The sequence below is a fragment of the Homo sapiens genome, chromosome 17 (genome assembly GCF_000001405.40).
Source record: "Homo sapiens chromosome 17, GRCh38.p14 Primary Assembly".
Lineage (NCBI taxonomy): Eukaryota > Metazoa > Chordata > Mammalia > Primates > Hominidae > Homo > Homo sapiens.
The window spans coordinates 3203988-3219393 of NC_000017.11; the positions used below are offsets into that span (position 1 = coordinate 3203988).

General features: G+C 40.6%; 1 protein-coding gene across 2 annotated transcripts; it reads left to right on the forward strand.

Annotated features, from left to right (window-relative positions):
* The first annotated feature begins 3679 nt into the window (after positions 1–3679).
* On the forward strand, positions 3680–14909 carry OR1A1 (olfactory receptor family 1 subfamily A member 1). Of its 2 annotated transcripts, NM_014565.3 has the most exons (4): positions 3680–4013; positions 4594–5011; positions 8480–8612; positions 11629–14909. In NM_014565.3, exon 4 carries the CDS (start codon positions 11634–11636, stop codon positions 12561–12563), a length of 930 nt encoding a protein of 309 aa, NP_055380.2. In that variant the 5' UTR covers positions 3680–4013; positions 4594–5011; positions 8480–8612; positions 11629–11633; the 3' UTR covers positions 12564–14909. The 2 variants fall into 2 exon arrangements, with proteins under 2 accessions (NP_055380.2, NP_001373033.1); NM_001386104.1 differs by lacking the exons at positions 4594–5011; positions 8480–8612.
* The last annotated feature ends 497 nt before the right edge of the window (positions 14910–15406 follow it).

Consider the following 15406-nt stretch of genomic DNA (forward strand, 5'->3'; position numbering starts at 1 on the left):
AAATCATACCAAGTATATTTACCAACCACAATGGAAACAAAACTACAAAGTAATCACAGAAAGAAAACTGGAAAATCAAAAAATATGTGGAAATTTAACAGCACACATTTGAACCACCTATGGGTCAAATAAAAAAGAAAACTGACAATATCTTGAGACAAACAAAAATGAAAATACAACATACCTAAACTTATAGGAGGCAATGAAAGCAGTACTTAGAGGAAAATTTATAGTGATAAATACTTAGATTTTAAAAGATCTCTTTTTCTCCACAACCTTGCCAGCATCTGTTATTTTTTGACTTTTTATTAATAGCCATTTTAACTGCTGTGAGATGGTATTTCTCATTGTGGTTTGGATTTGCATTTCTCTAATAATCAGTGATGTTGAGTTTTTCGTATGCTCGTTGGCCACATGTATGTCTTCTGGGAAGTGTCTGTTCATGTTATTTGCCCACTTTTTGTGAGGTTGTTGGTTTTTCTTTTCTTCTTGTCTAAGTTCCTTATAGATGCTGGATATTAGACCTTCATTGGATGCATAGTTTGCAACATTTTTCTCCCATTCTGTCGGTTGTCTTAAAGTTTACTCCGTTGATAGTTTCTTTTGCTGTGCAGAAGCTCTTTAGTTTAACTAGATCCCATTTGTCAATTTTTGCTTTTGTTGCCATTGCTTTTGGTGTCTCTGTCATGAAATTTTTGCCCATGCCTATGTCTTGAATGGTATTGCCTAGGTTGTCTTCCAGGGTTTTATAGTTTTGGGTTTTGCCTTTAAGTTTTTAATCCATCTTGAGCTAATATTTGTATATGGTATAAAAATGGAGAGAAAATTCTCAATAACCTTCTTACACCACAGGCTTCCTCCTTATCAGACCAGTAGTGGATAGTATCAGACATGCTGCAGATTAAAAAGACATTTGTGGGTCAACCTTTAATATTTACCATTAATCACAGGAATACTTTGTTTTATTGTACTTAACTTTATTGCTCTTCACATATGTTGTGTTTTTGGTTTTTGGTTTCTGTTTTCTAACAAATTGAAGGTTTATGGCAACCCTGCATCGAGCAAGAGTATCAGTGTCATTTTTCCAATCGCATGTGCTCACTTTGTGTCTCTATCACATTTTGTAATTATCACAATATTCTCTCCTTTTTTATTGCTGTCATATCTGTTATGATGATCTGTGATCAGTGATCTTTGATCTTACTATTGTAATTGTTTTGGTGTGCCACAAATCATGCCCATATAAGAAGGCAAACTTAATCAATAAATGTGCGTGTGCTGACTAAAAAAAAAAAAAAAGGTGTAAGAAAGGGGTTGGTGGGTGTGTAAAGTGGTTCAACCGTTGTGGAAGACAGTGTGACAAGTCTTCAAAAACCTAAAGTCAGAAATACCATTCAACCCAGCAATCCCCATTACTGGGTATACAACCAAAGAGACAGAAATTGTTCTATTATAAAGACACATGCATGTGTATGTTCACTGCAGCACCATTCGCAACAGCAAAGACATGAATCAACCCAAATGCCCATCGATGATAGACTGGGTAAAGAAAATGTGTCACATATACGCCATGGAATACTCTGCAGCTATAAAAAGAACAAGATCATGTCCTTTGCAGGGACATGGATGGAGCTTGGAGGCCATTATCCTTAGCAAACTAACACAAGAACAGAAAACCAAATACTGCATATTCTCGCTTATAAGTGGGAGCTAAATGATGAGAACGGATGGACACATAGAGGGAAACAACACACACACTGGGGCCTATCAGATGGTGGAGGATGGGAGGAGGGAGAGAATCAGGAAAAATAACTAATGGATACTAAGCTTAATACCTGGGTGATGAAATAATTGGTACAACAAACCCCCATGATACACGTTTACCTACATAACAAACCTGCACATCCTGCACATGTACCCCTGAACTTAAAAGTTCTTAAAAAGGCAAACCACCATGACACACATATACCTATGTAAGAGACCTGCAAGTTCTGCACATGTATCACATTTTTTAGAAGAAATGAAGGGGGAAAAGCATCACTTCCTTCATAATTCTATGCCATTGTGCAGTTTTGGCCCCTAATACGTACCCAGTAAACAAAGCATGGAATCAGTAAGAAGTTCTGAGAAGGGCACAAGGAGCAAAATGTGATTACTAAGAAGAAAGTATCTATCTGGAATGTCATCTTATCTGTGCCTGAGAGTCCATGTCCAGGAAACCGAAATGTAGTCTCAATATAGGGCAGGTAAAGACAGAGCAAACAGGAAGGCGCAGGCAGAAACATGTTTGCAGGAAAATGCAATTCTGCCAGTGGTTCAACCTCTACCATGTGTAGAATCTGATAGATTTTGTAGAGTTGTATAATACAACAATCACATGACTAGTAGTAAAGCAGGCAGTATTATAGGTCGTCGTATAGAAGTAGCAAAGCATAGAGGAAGGAATAACAGTTAACATTTCCTAAGTGCTAACTATGTGCCAGGCTGTTTTAAGAGCTATCAGGGGCCGGGCTCAGTGACTCACGCCTGTAATCCCAGCACTTTGGGAGGCTGAGGTGGGCGGATCAAGAGGTCAGGAGATGGAGACCGTCCTGGCTAACACGGTGAAACCCCGTCTCTAATAAAAATACAAAAAATTAGCCGGCTGTGGTGGCGGGCACCTGTAGTCCCAGCTACTCAGGAGGCTGAGGCAGGAGAATCACTTGAACCCAGGAGACAGAGGTTGCAGTGAGCCGAGATCGCGCCACTGCCCTCCAACCTGGCAACAGAGCAAGACTCCATCTCAAAAAAAAACAAAACCAAAAAACAGCCTTCAGGTATTCATTCATTTGATCCTTATAGCAACTTAATGAAGATATTGCTGTTGCTATTGTGGTTATTCCATTTTAGATATGAGCAAATGCATTAAATACATAAATGTCTGAGGTCAGTTACAACTAGTTAGTGGCAGAGCCAGAATTCAAACCCAGCCAGAACCCATCATCTTCTCAGGGTCCTCTATAGAAAGGCAGTGAACCCTCTGCCACCGGAGGTGCTGAGCCACAGGATAATGACCATTAGTCAGGGCTACTATAAGGGTGACACATATGTGAAGTGGGCCAGATAACACTAGGCCCTTTCCACTCTAAAAACAAAAAAAAAAAGGCCTACTATCTGCATGCCACATTAAAAACAAGTAGACAAGTATAACTTCCACCCTAAACTTCCTTGAGAATAAATTCTAGAGAAAAGATGAAATATAACTCTTCTCTGTAGTCTAAACAGCAGACTGGAAGAAAGACTAGGAGCTTCACTCCACCATAATCCTTGTAGCTCCCAAGGGGCACTTCTGCGTTTGTGCAAAGGAGAGGGGGTCACATTCCAACAGCGAGGTTGGAATAGCTCACCCCAGGGCTTGGACCTTGGAGACACACTCTCTGGAAAGCCTCCAGTCCATCCGTCCTCCTGGAAATGATTACTCTTGTGAGCCACTGTGTCCCCTCGGGACACAGGTGAAGGAGTATGTAAATAAGCTGCAACAATTACTCTAACTTTGGCTCGGATGAAGTCCTGGAGGAATCACCTTTCCAGAGACTTGATAACCGGGTGACTAATGCCCACTTTTCTCTATGCTGTGACCTGCCTGCTTCCTTGAGGAGGAAACTCGACTCCTTGTCCTCAAGCTCTTTCGGGGTAGCTCCTCTTGTCCCTTCGGCTCCCCTGTTGGGAAACTGGGGACTCCTCCTTCTAAACCATCCCATTCCTGTGTCCTCCACCTCAGGAACAGAGGATTGTTCCCCATCCTGCCACTGCTTCTCCAGCATGGCTGCCCTCAAACGGGATGCTAGCAGGTGCTAGATGAACTAACTGCAAACTTCCTTTCTGTGGAGGAGAAGTGAAGGCCACAGGGCCAGGACCCTTTTTAAAAGCATCTGAACTGACTCCACAGATAGGGACTTAGACATTGGAAGAGACTGTATCACAGCAACATCAAAGGGTAGACAGCCAGCAACTGTAGGCTACTTGCCCAAGAGGTAAGTTGAATTATGATGTCATTTTATCAAACATAAAAAGACGGTAAATTGAACTGCCCAAAGACACACACAGAGATAGTGGCAAAATTAGAACTCAAATCTTGGCCTGGCTCCAGTATCCAAGTTCTGAGGATCAGATGGACAAGAGAGAGATAGAGATAGAGATAGAGATATATATATAGAGAGAGAGAGAGGAGGAGGAGGAGGAGGAGGAGGACCCTCCCCTTCTGATAATGTTTCTCCTTGGGCTGTTGTCCATGAAAACAGCATCAGAAAAAGATAATTCTGATTTGCTTTTCTCAGTCTTTAGCTCTTTCTACCTCCTATAGTAATATAGTGTGTGTGTGCATGTGTGTGTGTGTAAGAGAGAGCGAGAGCACCTGCCAAAAGTGCATTGTCTTAGAGACCTACAAAATCACCTTGGTCATGCTAATGGGCCCATTAGAAAACATGGTATTTCATTACCAAAGCACTGATGAGCTGAACTATCATGGAAGTCTCAAAGTACTGAGAGATGCATCTTGGTGGTCTACACTGCTACCCAGATAAGGGGAAACACTTGCCTCCTCTGTCCCTGCAGAATTGTTCTCAGCACCACCCCATTCACATGGCTGATATCTCAGAGGATGACGCTTTCCAGGAAAGTGGGTATTAAAGGCGCCGCAATGTTCAAGGCCCTGACGTCATCCCAGTGAACTCAAGGCCCGCTACGTCTCCAGCATGCATGTTGAGGCACCTCCTGGCTTCTCTTCTTGGTGGTAGAGGGTCTTTTTACCTCTTTCCCCTAGTCTGATATATGGCCCCTGGGTCCCTCTTCCAGTATAAATAAACCTCCATTTATTCTCAACCTCTTTACAAGGAACATTCTATCTCCTACCTTAAATGAAACATGAACTTGAGCCACCCAGCTCCATCGCTGTCCTCTGGACCAAATCATCACAGAACATGTGAAATAACAACAGAAGCTCATCATCTAGATTATACAAATGGAACATTAGGTATTTGCTCCAACTGTTTCTTTTTAATTTTTTTAAATTATTTTATTTTTCCTTAAGTTACTGGGGTACAGGTGGTATTTGGTTACATGAGTAAGTTCTTTAGTGGTGATTTGTGAGATCCTGGTGCGCCCATCACCTAAGCAGTATACACTGCACCATATATGTTGTCTTTTATCCCTCGCCCCCTTCGCACTCTTCCCCCCGAGTCCCCAAAGTCCACTGTATCATTCTTATGCCTTTGCATCCTCATAGCTTAGCTCCCACATATCAGTGAGAACATACGATGTTTGGTTTTCCATTCCTGAGTTACTTCACTTAGAATAATACAACATAAATATTGCAGGCCAGGTGTGGTGGCTTATGCCGGGAATTTCAATACTTTGGGAGGCTGAAGTGGGAGGATCACTTCAGGCCAGGAGTTTTAGACCAACCTGGGCAACGCAGCAAAACCCTGTCTCTACAAAAATAATTGTTAAATTATTTTTATTATTTTTAAAAAATTTTTGTGGGTACATAGTACAATTCAATTTACCATATCTTTATGGGGTAACATGAGATGTTTTGATACAGGCATGCCATGTGAAATAAACACATCATGGAGATCTACAAATCCAATTTTTAAAAAATTAGCTGGGAGTGGTGGCACACACCTGTAGTCCCACTTGAGCGGCAGATTCAGGGTGACTGCTTGAGACCAGGAGTTCAAGGCTGCAGTGAGCCATGATCATACCACTGCCCTCCAGCCTGGGCAACAGAGTGAGACCTTGTTTCTAAATAAATCGATATTACAGATACACTTGAAATTTTCTTTGTTCCCATCCAAAATCTTATTTTCTGCCTTTCACTCCAGAGAAAACCACTATTCTATTGTTGATAGTATATTCCTATTCAGAATTTACACTTTTACCACATACAAACGTATTATTTTATGGTTAAAATTTACATATACATTGTGACATGCCATATATCTTCCAGCAACTGGCTTTTTATCATCACATTGCTTTTCTTCCCTAATTTACCCCATGAATTTATTCATTTTAACTATTGCATAGGATTCACTACTAAAAAATAGCACAATTTACTTATCTATGCCTCCGTGGGTAGACCATTTCTAAGTTTCCCATATGACAATGCACATGTGCCCGTCTTCTTTTTTCTTTTCCATTTTTTTTTTTTTAGATGGGGTCTCACACTATTGCCCAGGCTGGTCTTGAATTCCTGGGCTCAAGCAATTCTCCCACATCAGCCTCCTGAGTGGCTGAAATTATCTTACATGTGTCTTCTTCCACCCATGTGCTACAGTTTCTCTAGAAGCTAAGCAGAAAGCAGAATGGCTGGGTCAGAGATGTGTGAATTTCGACTTTCCTGGATATGGGCTCACTATTTTCTGAATGTAATATAATACTACTGTATTCATTTTTCCCAACACTTGGAATTGTCAGAGTTTTACACTTTACACACTCCAAGATGAAAGATGTTAAATTTAATTTTATTTTTAATTTAGTTAAAGGTCTTTGCTTATTGGGCCATGCCAGTTTCCTATGACTTGCCTGTTCAAGTCTTTGGACCATTATCTTCTGCCGTATTGCTGGTCCTTTTTTTGTTGTTGTTGTTTTTGTTTTTTTGAGATGAAGTCTTGCTTTGTCACTTAGGCTGGAGTGCAGTGGCGCAATCTCGACTCACTGCAACCTCCGCTTCCCGGGTTCAAGTGATTCTCGTGCCTCAGCCTCCCAAGTAGCTGGGATCACAGGCACCCACCACCACACCTGGCTAATTTTTGTGTTTTTAGTAGAGATGGGGTTTCACCATGTTATCCAGGCCGGTCTCCAACTCCTGGCCTCAGGTGATCTGCCCGCCTCAGCCTCCCAAAGTGCTGGGATTACAGGTGTGAGCCACCGTGCCTGGCCTGTTGGTCCTTTTCTTATGAGTTTGTAGGAAATCAATTCCTATCTTGATAGCATACACAAATTTTCCCTTTATTTTCCACTAAATTTTTTGACGTTTTGCTTTTCACAGTTAATCCTTTAGGAATTATTTTTCTGTATAACTTCTCATATATAGATAACCAACTGTCCAATGACTCTGGGCTAAATAGTTCATCGTCTCCTTGCCTGTTTCTAAACCACCTCATGTCACACACCACTTTCTAAGAAATGCTTAACCTGTGTCTGGCCTTCCTAGTCGATTAGACCAAATATTGATTTCTTTGTCGGTCTCTAACTCACTATTACTCCGATGTTTGAATTATCACAGTAAACCTTTTTTGTACCTAATGAGACAAAAAGTACCTCACTTTCTTTCCTCAAATTGTCTTATCTCTCCTCTTTATTCTCCTAAATGAATTTTTTTTTTTTGAGTCAGAATTTTGCTCCTTCCCCCAGGCTGGAGTGCAGTGGTACAATCTCGGCTCACTGCAACCTCTGCCCCCGCAGTTTCAAGCAATTCTCTTGCCTCAGCCTCCCAAGTAGCTGGGATTACAGGTGTGCACCACCACGCCCAGCTAATTTTTGTATTTTTAGTAGAGATGGGGTTTTTCCATGTTGGCCAGGCTGGTCTCAAATGCCTGACCTCAGGTAATCCGCCTGCTTCGGCCTCCCAAAGTGCTGGGATTACAGATGTGAGCCACCGTGCCCAGTCTCCTACATGAATTTTTGGATCAGTTTGTCAAACTCATGTTTAAAAGAAACTTGTATCTGGTTTGGGGTTGCATTACATTTAGAGAGTAATTGGAAGAGGACTGACATTTTCACAATATTGAGGCTTCCATTAACAATTTACCTCACCACCTTTTAAATATTTTTGTGCTTCACTAAAGTTTATTTTTTAAATCAATTTTGGATCTCTTATTAGAATTATTTCTAGATTCCTTAAAATTTTCTATGGCCATTTTAAAAAATAAATCTTTATTAAAATTATATTTTCTTGCACTGGAAAAAGGGTCTCTGGGAAAAAGTAAAAATGAATTCCATTTTCTAATTTAGTGTTTAAGTACAAGAATAGTATTGATTTTTGAAATACTTGTTTATAACAAACTTGCTGAAACATCAATTCCCTTGGGTTTTCTTTGTAGACAATATTTTCTATGAACTCTTATCTTTTTGTTCTTTTCTTTCCAATTCTTTTATGGCAAAATTCTTTCTAGTGTTCTTTTCAGAAATAGGACAACACTTCAAGGGTTTTTTAACAGAGTCTCAAATTAGTCTCCCTGCTTCGTGTGGATCTGTGGTCACACTGTATCAAGGGGCATAAAGACCTTATACCCAGCCATTAAGAACTAGCTAATGTCTGAATGGAGACCCCAAGGGGCCACCACAGCATCCTCTATGGCTCATGTTTCTTGTTCTGAGTTTTATTCTTGTTTCTCACACTAAGGTATTCCTATTTCTTTCTTTTAGGTATGGTTATGTGTTTTGGGTTTTTTTTTTCTTTACTTTGATATTTTTCTATAACTTCAATGTATTTTAACAGCAATGGGAACTGTCAACATCAACTTAGTCTGCCATGATGCCAAGAGCTCCACCTCTGAACTCACATATCCGTACCATATGAGCTAACCATGCTCTCTGCCTCTCCAGATTTACTGAACGATTTGACACCTGAGGTATTATGATTCTATTTGAAGAAGGGGGAGGGCATCTCAAGAGAGAAAATCAAACTTCTTTAGGCGCAGAGATGAGAAAGTACATCATAATTATGAAATGGCCTCCTTGTCTGGGGTAATACCCGAGGTTCCTTGCCTCACAGCCAAGGAAATCAAGGACGTGGATACACACAGAGTGAGGATAAGAGTGGAAGTTTAATAGGTGAAAGAAAGAGGATAGCTCTCTGCTGGAGAGAGGGTTCTTGGAGAAATGGGCTGCCGGATCTGCAGTGAAATGGAGGCAGGGGGTTAGACGCCTGGTGAGGAGGTAGAGTCTGATTTACATGGAGCAGGAAAGACTGGCTGGACCAGGTGTGTCATTAGCATAGGGTGTGAAAAACTGATTAGGACTAGATGTGCCATTTGCATAGGGCATGAATTTCTGGTAGCCCCCACCCTAATCTTTAATTATGCAGGTAGGTTCTCCGTCTGGCCTGCACCACGTTGCCCATTCCCTTATTGTACACATGATAACAAAAAAAGGAAGATGGAGCCTCCATGTTGGATATGTCTGGCCCCCAGGTAGCCCTTTCCTATTGGCACAGCTGCCAGCCTTCCCCTGTGCAGGCTTCCGGCTTGCTTGTCTATGTCTGCAGCTCAATTTCTCAGGCTGCTCTTTGTTAGAAAAAAAGTAATTTATTGGGCTGCTTTTTGTTAAAAGGGAAGCTCTGCCAAAGACTCTTTTACTTTCACTATCTGCCTAAATAATTTCTTTCTACCTCCTGTATCAATGAGAAATGATAAAGATGATTAGACCTACATCCCTCATACCTAGCACATGATTCAAACATGTACTACAAGAGATGCTGAGAAGTGAGGATTGAATTAATTACAGATCTAATATATTTTTGAGTCAATATCTCTTTAGAAAAATTAGTAAATGCTAGATATTCTGCAGAACTGTCACAAGTTGATCACAAAATGTAAAATGGCTTAAACAAAGTAAAGGTTTATTTCTCTCCTACATAATGGTTACAATAAATGTTTTTGTTTGGGGGAGGTTCTCCTGAGTGTGGAGTACTGGGGATACAGGTTCATTCCATCATGTGTCTCCATCATCCTGTTCAGCCTCCTCTCCATTTGCATCCAACTGGCACAAGGGTAAGAAGGTGTGGAGGAGCCCAGAACTGGGACACGTGTGGAATGGCTAGAACTCAGTCACATGAGCACACCTCACTGCAAGGGAGTCTGGGAAATGTAGTCTAATTGAACGTCCAAGAAGAAGAGAACAACACGGATTTGACTAAGCAGCTGATCGTTGCCGCTGTAATTTAAGTCTTAGAGTACAAGACGGATCAAAGAGGAGGAAACCTGGAGTCAAGCAGTTGAGTTAGCATTACAATACTTCAGGGAGAAAACAATGATGGAGCTGAAGCACTGGGACATTTAGTAGAAAGGCTGAATTATGTAATAATTATTTTAAAGGAAGAATCAACAAGATTAGATGTAGAGGTGAGAGAGAAACTGAGTCATTAAGCTTGTGAGCATCCCACATATGGGGAGTACAAGAAATATACCTGGATTTGACTCAAAAAATATTAAGAGAAAACTTATTGATACATACAATAGAAAATATTTGGCTGGGCACGGTGGCTCACGCCTGTAATCCCAGCACTTTGGGAGGCCGACACGGGCGGATCACCTGAGGTCAGGAGTTTGAGACCAGCCTGGCCAATGTGATGAAACCTCCATCTCTACTAAAAATACAAACAATAACAACAACAACAACAAAAAACTAGCCAGGCGTAGTGGCACATGCCTGTAATCCCAGCTACTCAGGAGGCTGAGGCAGGAGAATCACTTGAACCTGGGAGGCGGAGGTTGCGGTGAGCCGAGATCACACCACTGCACTCCAGCCTGGGCAAGATGCAGTGAGACTCCATCTCAAAAAAAAAAGAAAAAAAAAAAAAAAGAAAATATTCCATAATAGTCTATCTGAAGGAGGTAAAAATAAACAAGATATGGTTTTCCTTCCCCTAAAATCTTGCCCTCATCTTAGGTTGGATGTGCAGTTTGGTCACGTTGGCAGTATGAGTGAAGTGGAAATACGGAGGGAAAAGTTCACACCTACAGATGTAAACCTCACAGTTTACTAAGCAATGGTTGAAGCCACTAAGCAGTTGCTTGAGTCACCCAAAGAAATAATTAAGAACAGGAAGAGAAGGCTGAGAGAAAGGCATTGTGATTGTATATACTTGAGGGCTTGCCAAAGAGAGAAAAAAAACCAACAACTCTTTTTTCCTTTCTTTTAAAGGAAATGGTGAAAATTTACTTTGAAAATGAGACACCTGGGGAGAAAATTCTCCAGACTGTTTTAGTAGGATCTAAATGCACTGGTCCCTGTGATTTACAATCTTCCGACACAGTGTAGATACATGTTACCTCCTGGGCTCTGGGATCCCTCTGAGTTTTTTCAATGGAAAAATTCCTAATTTCTGGGCTGGCCCTTTCACCAGCAGACCTTTTGCACTGGAATATTTTGTCAAAGACTTCAAAATGCTGTCCTCTCCTTATCATGGGTAATAAAATTAGTGTGTGATTTTGGCTTCTCCACTAAGTTGTAAGGTCCTTGAGAACAGAGACCACGTCTTGAATAAATAGATGAATAAACTGTATTTGTCACATATTTATAACTTCTCCATGAGGTCTAACAAAGTGACTAGACCATGGGACATGACAATTATTTGTTATATGATTAATTTCTAGGCGTTTAGTGGTGGTGCTTGGAACAGGAAGGATGGGCACTTCTGATTCAGAGATTGCTCACTTTTTAGACATGACTATAAAGGGGTGAATGACAATTAGTCCTATTGACCTACAGGGATGTTTCCCCAAAATACTGGATATCTCTATAATTTAATAAACTCAGGTGTATACACAGCTGAATCACTTAAGTCAGAAGTGATGGAGAAGGATTATCACTACACACAGTAACTATGCTAATATAATGATATTCCTCTCCCCTTTCATGTTAAAGAAGCCATGAGGGAAAATAACCAGTCCTCTACACTGGAATTCATCCTCCTGGGAGTTACTGGTCAGCAGGAACAGGAAGATTTCTTCTACATCCTCTTCTTGTTCATTTACCCCATCACATTGATTGGAAACCTGCTCATCGTCCTAGCCATTTGCTCTGATGTTCGCCTTCACAACCCCATGTATTTTCTCCTTGCCAACCTCTCCTTGGTTGACATCTTCTTCTCATCGGTAACCATCCCTAAGATGCTGGCCAACCATCTCTTGGGCAGCAAATCCATCTCTTTTGGGGGATGCCTAACGCAGATGTATTTCATGATAGCCTTGGGTAACACAGACAGCTATATTTTGGCTGCAATGGCATATGATCGAGCTGTGGCCATCAGCCGCCCACTTCACTACACAACAATTATGAGTCCACGGTCTTGTATCTGGCTTATTGCTGGGTCTTGGGTGATTGGAAATGCCAATGCCCTCCCCCACACTCTGCTCACAGCTAGTCTGTCCTTCTGTGGCAACCAGGAAGTGGCCAACTTCTACTGTGACATTACCCCCTTGCTGAAGTTATCCTGTTCTGACATCCACTTTCATGTGAAGATGATGTACCTAGGGGTTGGCATTTTCTCTGTGCCATTACTATGCATCATTGTCTCCTATATTCGAGTCTTCTCCACAGTCTTCCAGGTTCCTTCCACCAAGGGCGTGCTCAAGGCCTTCTCCACCTGTGGTTCCCACCTCACGGTTGTCTCTTTGTATTATGGTACAGTCATGGGCACGTATTTCCGCCCTTTGACCAATTATAGCCTAAAAGACGCAGTGATCACTGTAATGTACACGGCAGTGACCCCAATGTTAAATCCTTTCATCTACAGTCTGAGAAATCGGGACATGAAGGCTGCCCTGCGGAAACTCTTCAACAAGAGAATCTCCTCGTAACCAATGTGAGGGCCTACATTGGATACCGTAGTCACCAGTTACGGTATATTGGAAATCCAGTTCTGATGTCATCCTCCTACGAGAGGCAGTCTCTGATCTTTCTAGCCTGAAATTCCTAATCTCAGAACTCTTATAACATTTTAATAAGTTAATAATAAGTGATTATTGAAATTACCACTTTCAACTCATTGCTGCTCTTTTTGGCAGAGTGGCAGCACAGGGATATAGGGCATATGTCCTGATGAGCAGAGTCAAGTTGGGAAGATCTGAGCCTCAGCTTTCACATCTACATGTTAGGAATAATAAGTGCCCTACATGGGTCACATGGTGTGTTGATTACAATAGCTCATGCTTCCAAGATTATAAATCACTATTCATGTGTCCATTTTTATTTGACTGTTAAGTTTAATCACCCTTATTAGGCTTGCAAGCCTCTGAGGGCAGGAGTTGTTTTTACACATCACTGTACCTTCCCAATCTTGGTCAGATAAAGTGCATCCAATAAATACTGGTGGAAGTGGAATGAATAAGATATTAATATCTGAAACGTAATATTATAATTAGGGATAATCAAACCAGACATTATTTTCTCATCCTTTAAACCTTTCAAGAAACTCCCATTCACAAATGCTACAAAGGGAATAAAATACCTAGGAATACAGCTTACAAGGGACATGAAGGAACTCTTCAAGGAAAACTAAAACCCACTGCTCAAGGAAATAAGAGAGGACAAAAACAAATGGAAAAACATTCCATCCTCTTTTATACAAAGAATCAATATCATGAAAATGGCCATACTGCCCAAAGTAATTTATAGATTCAATGCTATTCCCATCAAACTACCATTGACATTCTTCACAGAATTAGAAAACACTTCTTTAAATTTCGTATGGAACTAAAAAAGAGCCCGTATATCCAAGACAATCATAAGCAAAAAGAACAAAGCTACAGGCATCATGCTACTTGACTTCAAACTATACTACAAGGCTACAGTAACCAAAACAGCATGGTACTGGTACCAAAACAGACATGTAGCCCAGTGGAACAGAACAGAGACCTCACAAATAACACCACACATCTACAACCATCTGATCTTTGACAAACCTGACAAAAACAAGAAATGGGGAAAGGATTCCCTATTTAATAAATGGTGTTGGGAAAACTGGCTAGCCATATGCAGAAAAATGAAACTGGACCCCTTTCTTACATCTTATACAAAAATTAACTCAAGATGGATTAAAGGCTTAAACGTAAGACCTAAAACCATAAAAACCTTAGAAGAAAACGTAGGCAATACCATTCAGGACATAGGCATGGGCAAACTTCATGTTTAAAACACCAAAAGCAATGGCAACAAAAGCCAAAATTGACAAATGGGATCTAATTAAACTAAAGAGCTTCTGCACAGCAAAAGAAACTATCATCAGAGTGAACAGGCAACCTACAGAATGGGAGAAAATTTTTGCCATCTATCCATCTGACAAAGGGCTAATATCTAGAATCTACAAAGAACTTAAATTTACAGGAAAAAAACCACCCCATGAAAAAGTGGGCGAAGGATATGAACAGACACTTCTCAAAAGAAGACATTTATGCAGCCAATAAACATATGAAAAAAAGCTCAACATCACTGGTCGTTAGAGAAATGCAAATCAAAACCACAATGAGACACCATCTCATGCCAGTTGGAATGGCGATCATTAAAAAGTAAGGAAACAACATATGCTGGAGAGGATGTGGAGAAATAGGAAGGTTTTTACACTGTTGGTGGGAGTGTAAATTAGTTCAACTATCATGGAAGACAGTGTGGTGACTCCTCAAGGATCTAGAACCACAAATACCATTTGATCCAGTGATCCCATTACTGGGTATATACCTAAAGGATTATAAATCATTCTACTATAAAGACACATGCACAAGTATATTTATTGTGGCACTGTTCACAGTAGCAAAGACTTGGAACCAACCCAAATGCCCATCAATGATAGACTGGATGAAGAAAATGTGGCACATATACACCATGGAATACTACGCAGTCATAAAAAAGGATGAGTTCATGTCCTTTGCAGGGACATGGATCAAGCTGGAAACCATCATTCTCAGCAAACTAACACAAGAAAAGAAAACCAAACACTGCACGTTCTCACTCATAAGTGTGAGTTAAACAATGAGAACACATGGACACAAGGAAGGGCACATCACACACCAGGGCCTGTCAGCGGGTTGGGGGCAAGAGGAGGGATAGCATTAGGAGAAATACCTAATGCAGATGTCAGGCTGATGGATGCAGCAAACCACCATGGCACGTGTATACCTATGTAACAAACCTGCATGTTCTGCACATGTACCCCAGAATTAAAAGTATAATAATAAAAAAAAGAAACTGACCTGGGGAAATATTTCTGTGCTTACTTCATAGTTTAGACTATATCTAAAGATAATACAACTCCTCCTAAAATCTTACTAAGACAGTCACTAATAAATAATAATAATAATAAACAAAAACAAAAGCAAAGAAAGAATGACCACAGGATTCAGGATAAGAGAAAATTCAAAAGGAGAAATGGGGGAATAGAACTAGGGTTATCACATAGTTAGATGTAGGTTATTACTACAGTCCTAATATTCAGATTAAGTGGTGAGTCCAGGGTGTTCATGAAATTATGATTGATTGATAGTTACATAGATACATAGATAAAAGCTCTGAATGAAACAATGAAGAGAGCTTCTCTTTAATCAAGAATGGATAGATAAGAGAGCAGTAAGGGAGGAGGGGAGAGTGATGAGATCAGGAGTTTAATTACACATCTCTTAAAGCAATCTAGGGAAGAGAGAGTGAAGAT

Excerpts from the sequence above, each read along its gene's own strand:
- OR1A1 (NM_014565.3), top strand. The coding sequence starts at position 11,634 with ATGAGGGAAAATAACCAGTCCTCTACACTGGAATTCATCCTCCTGGGA.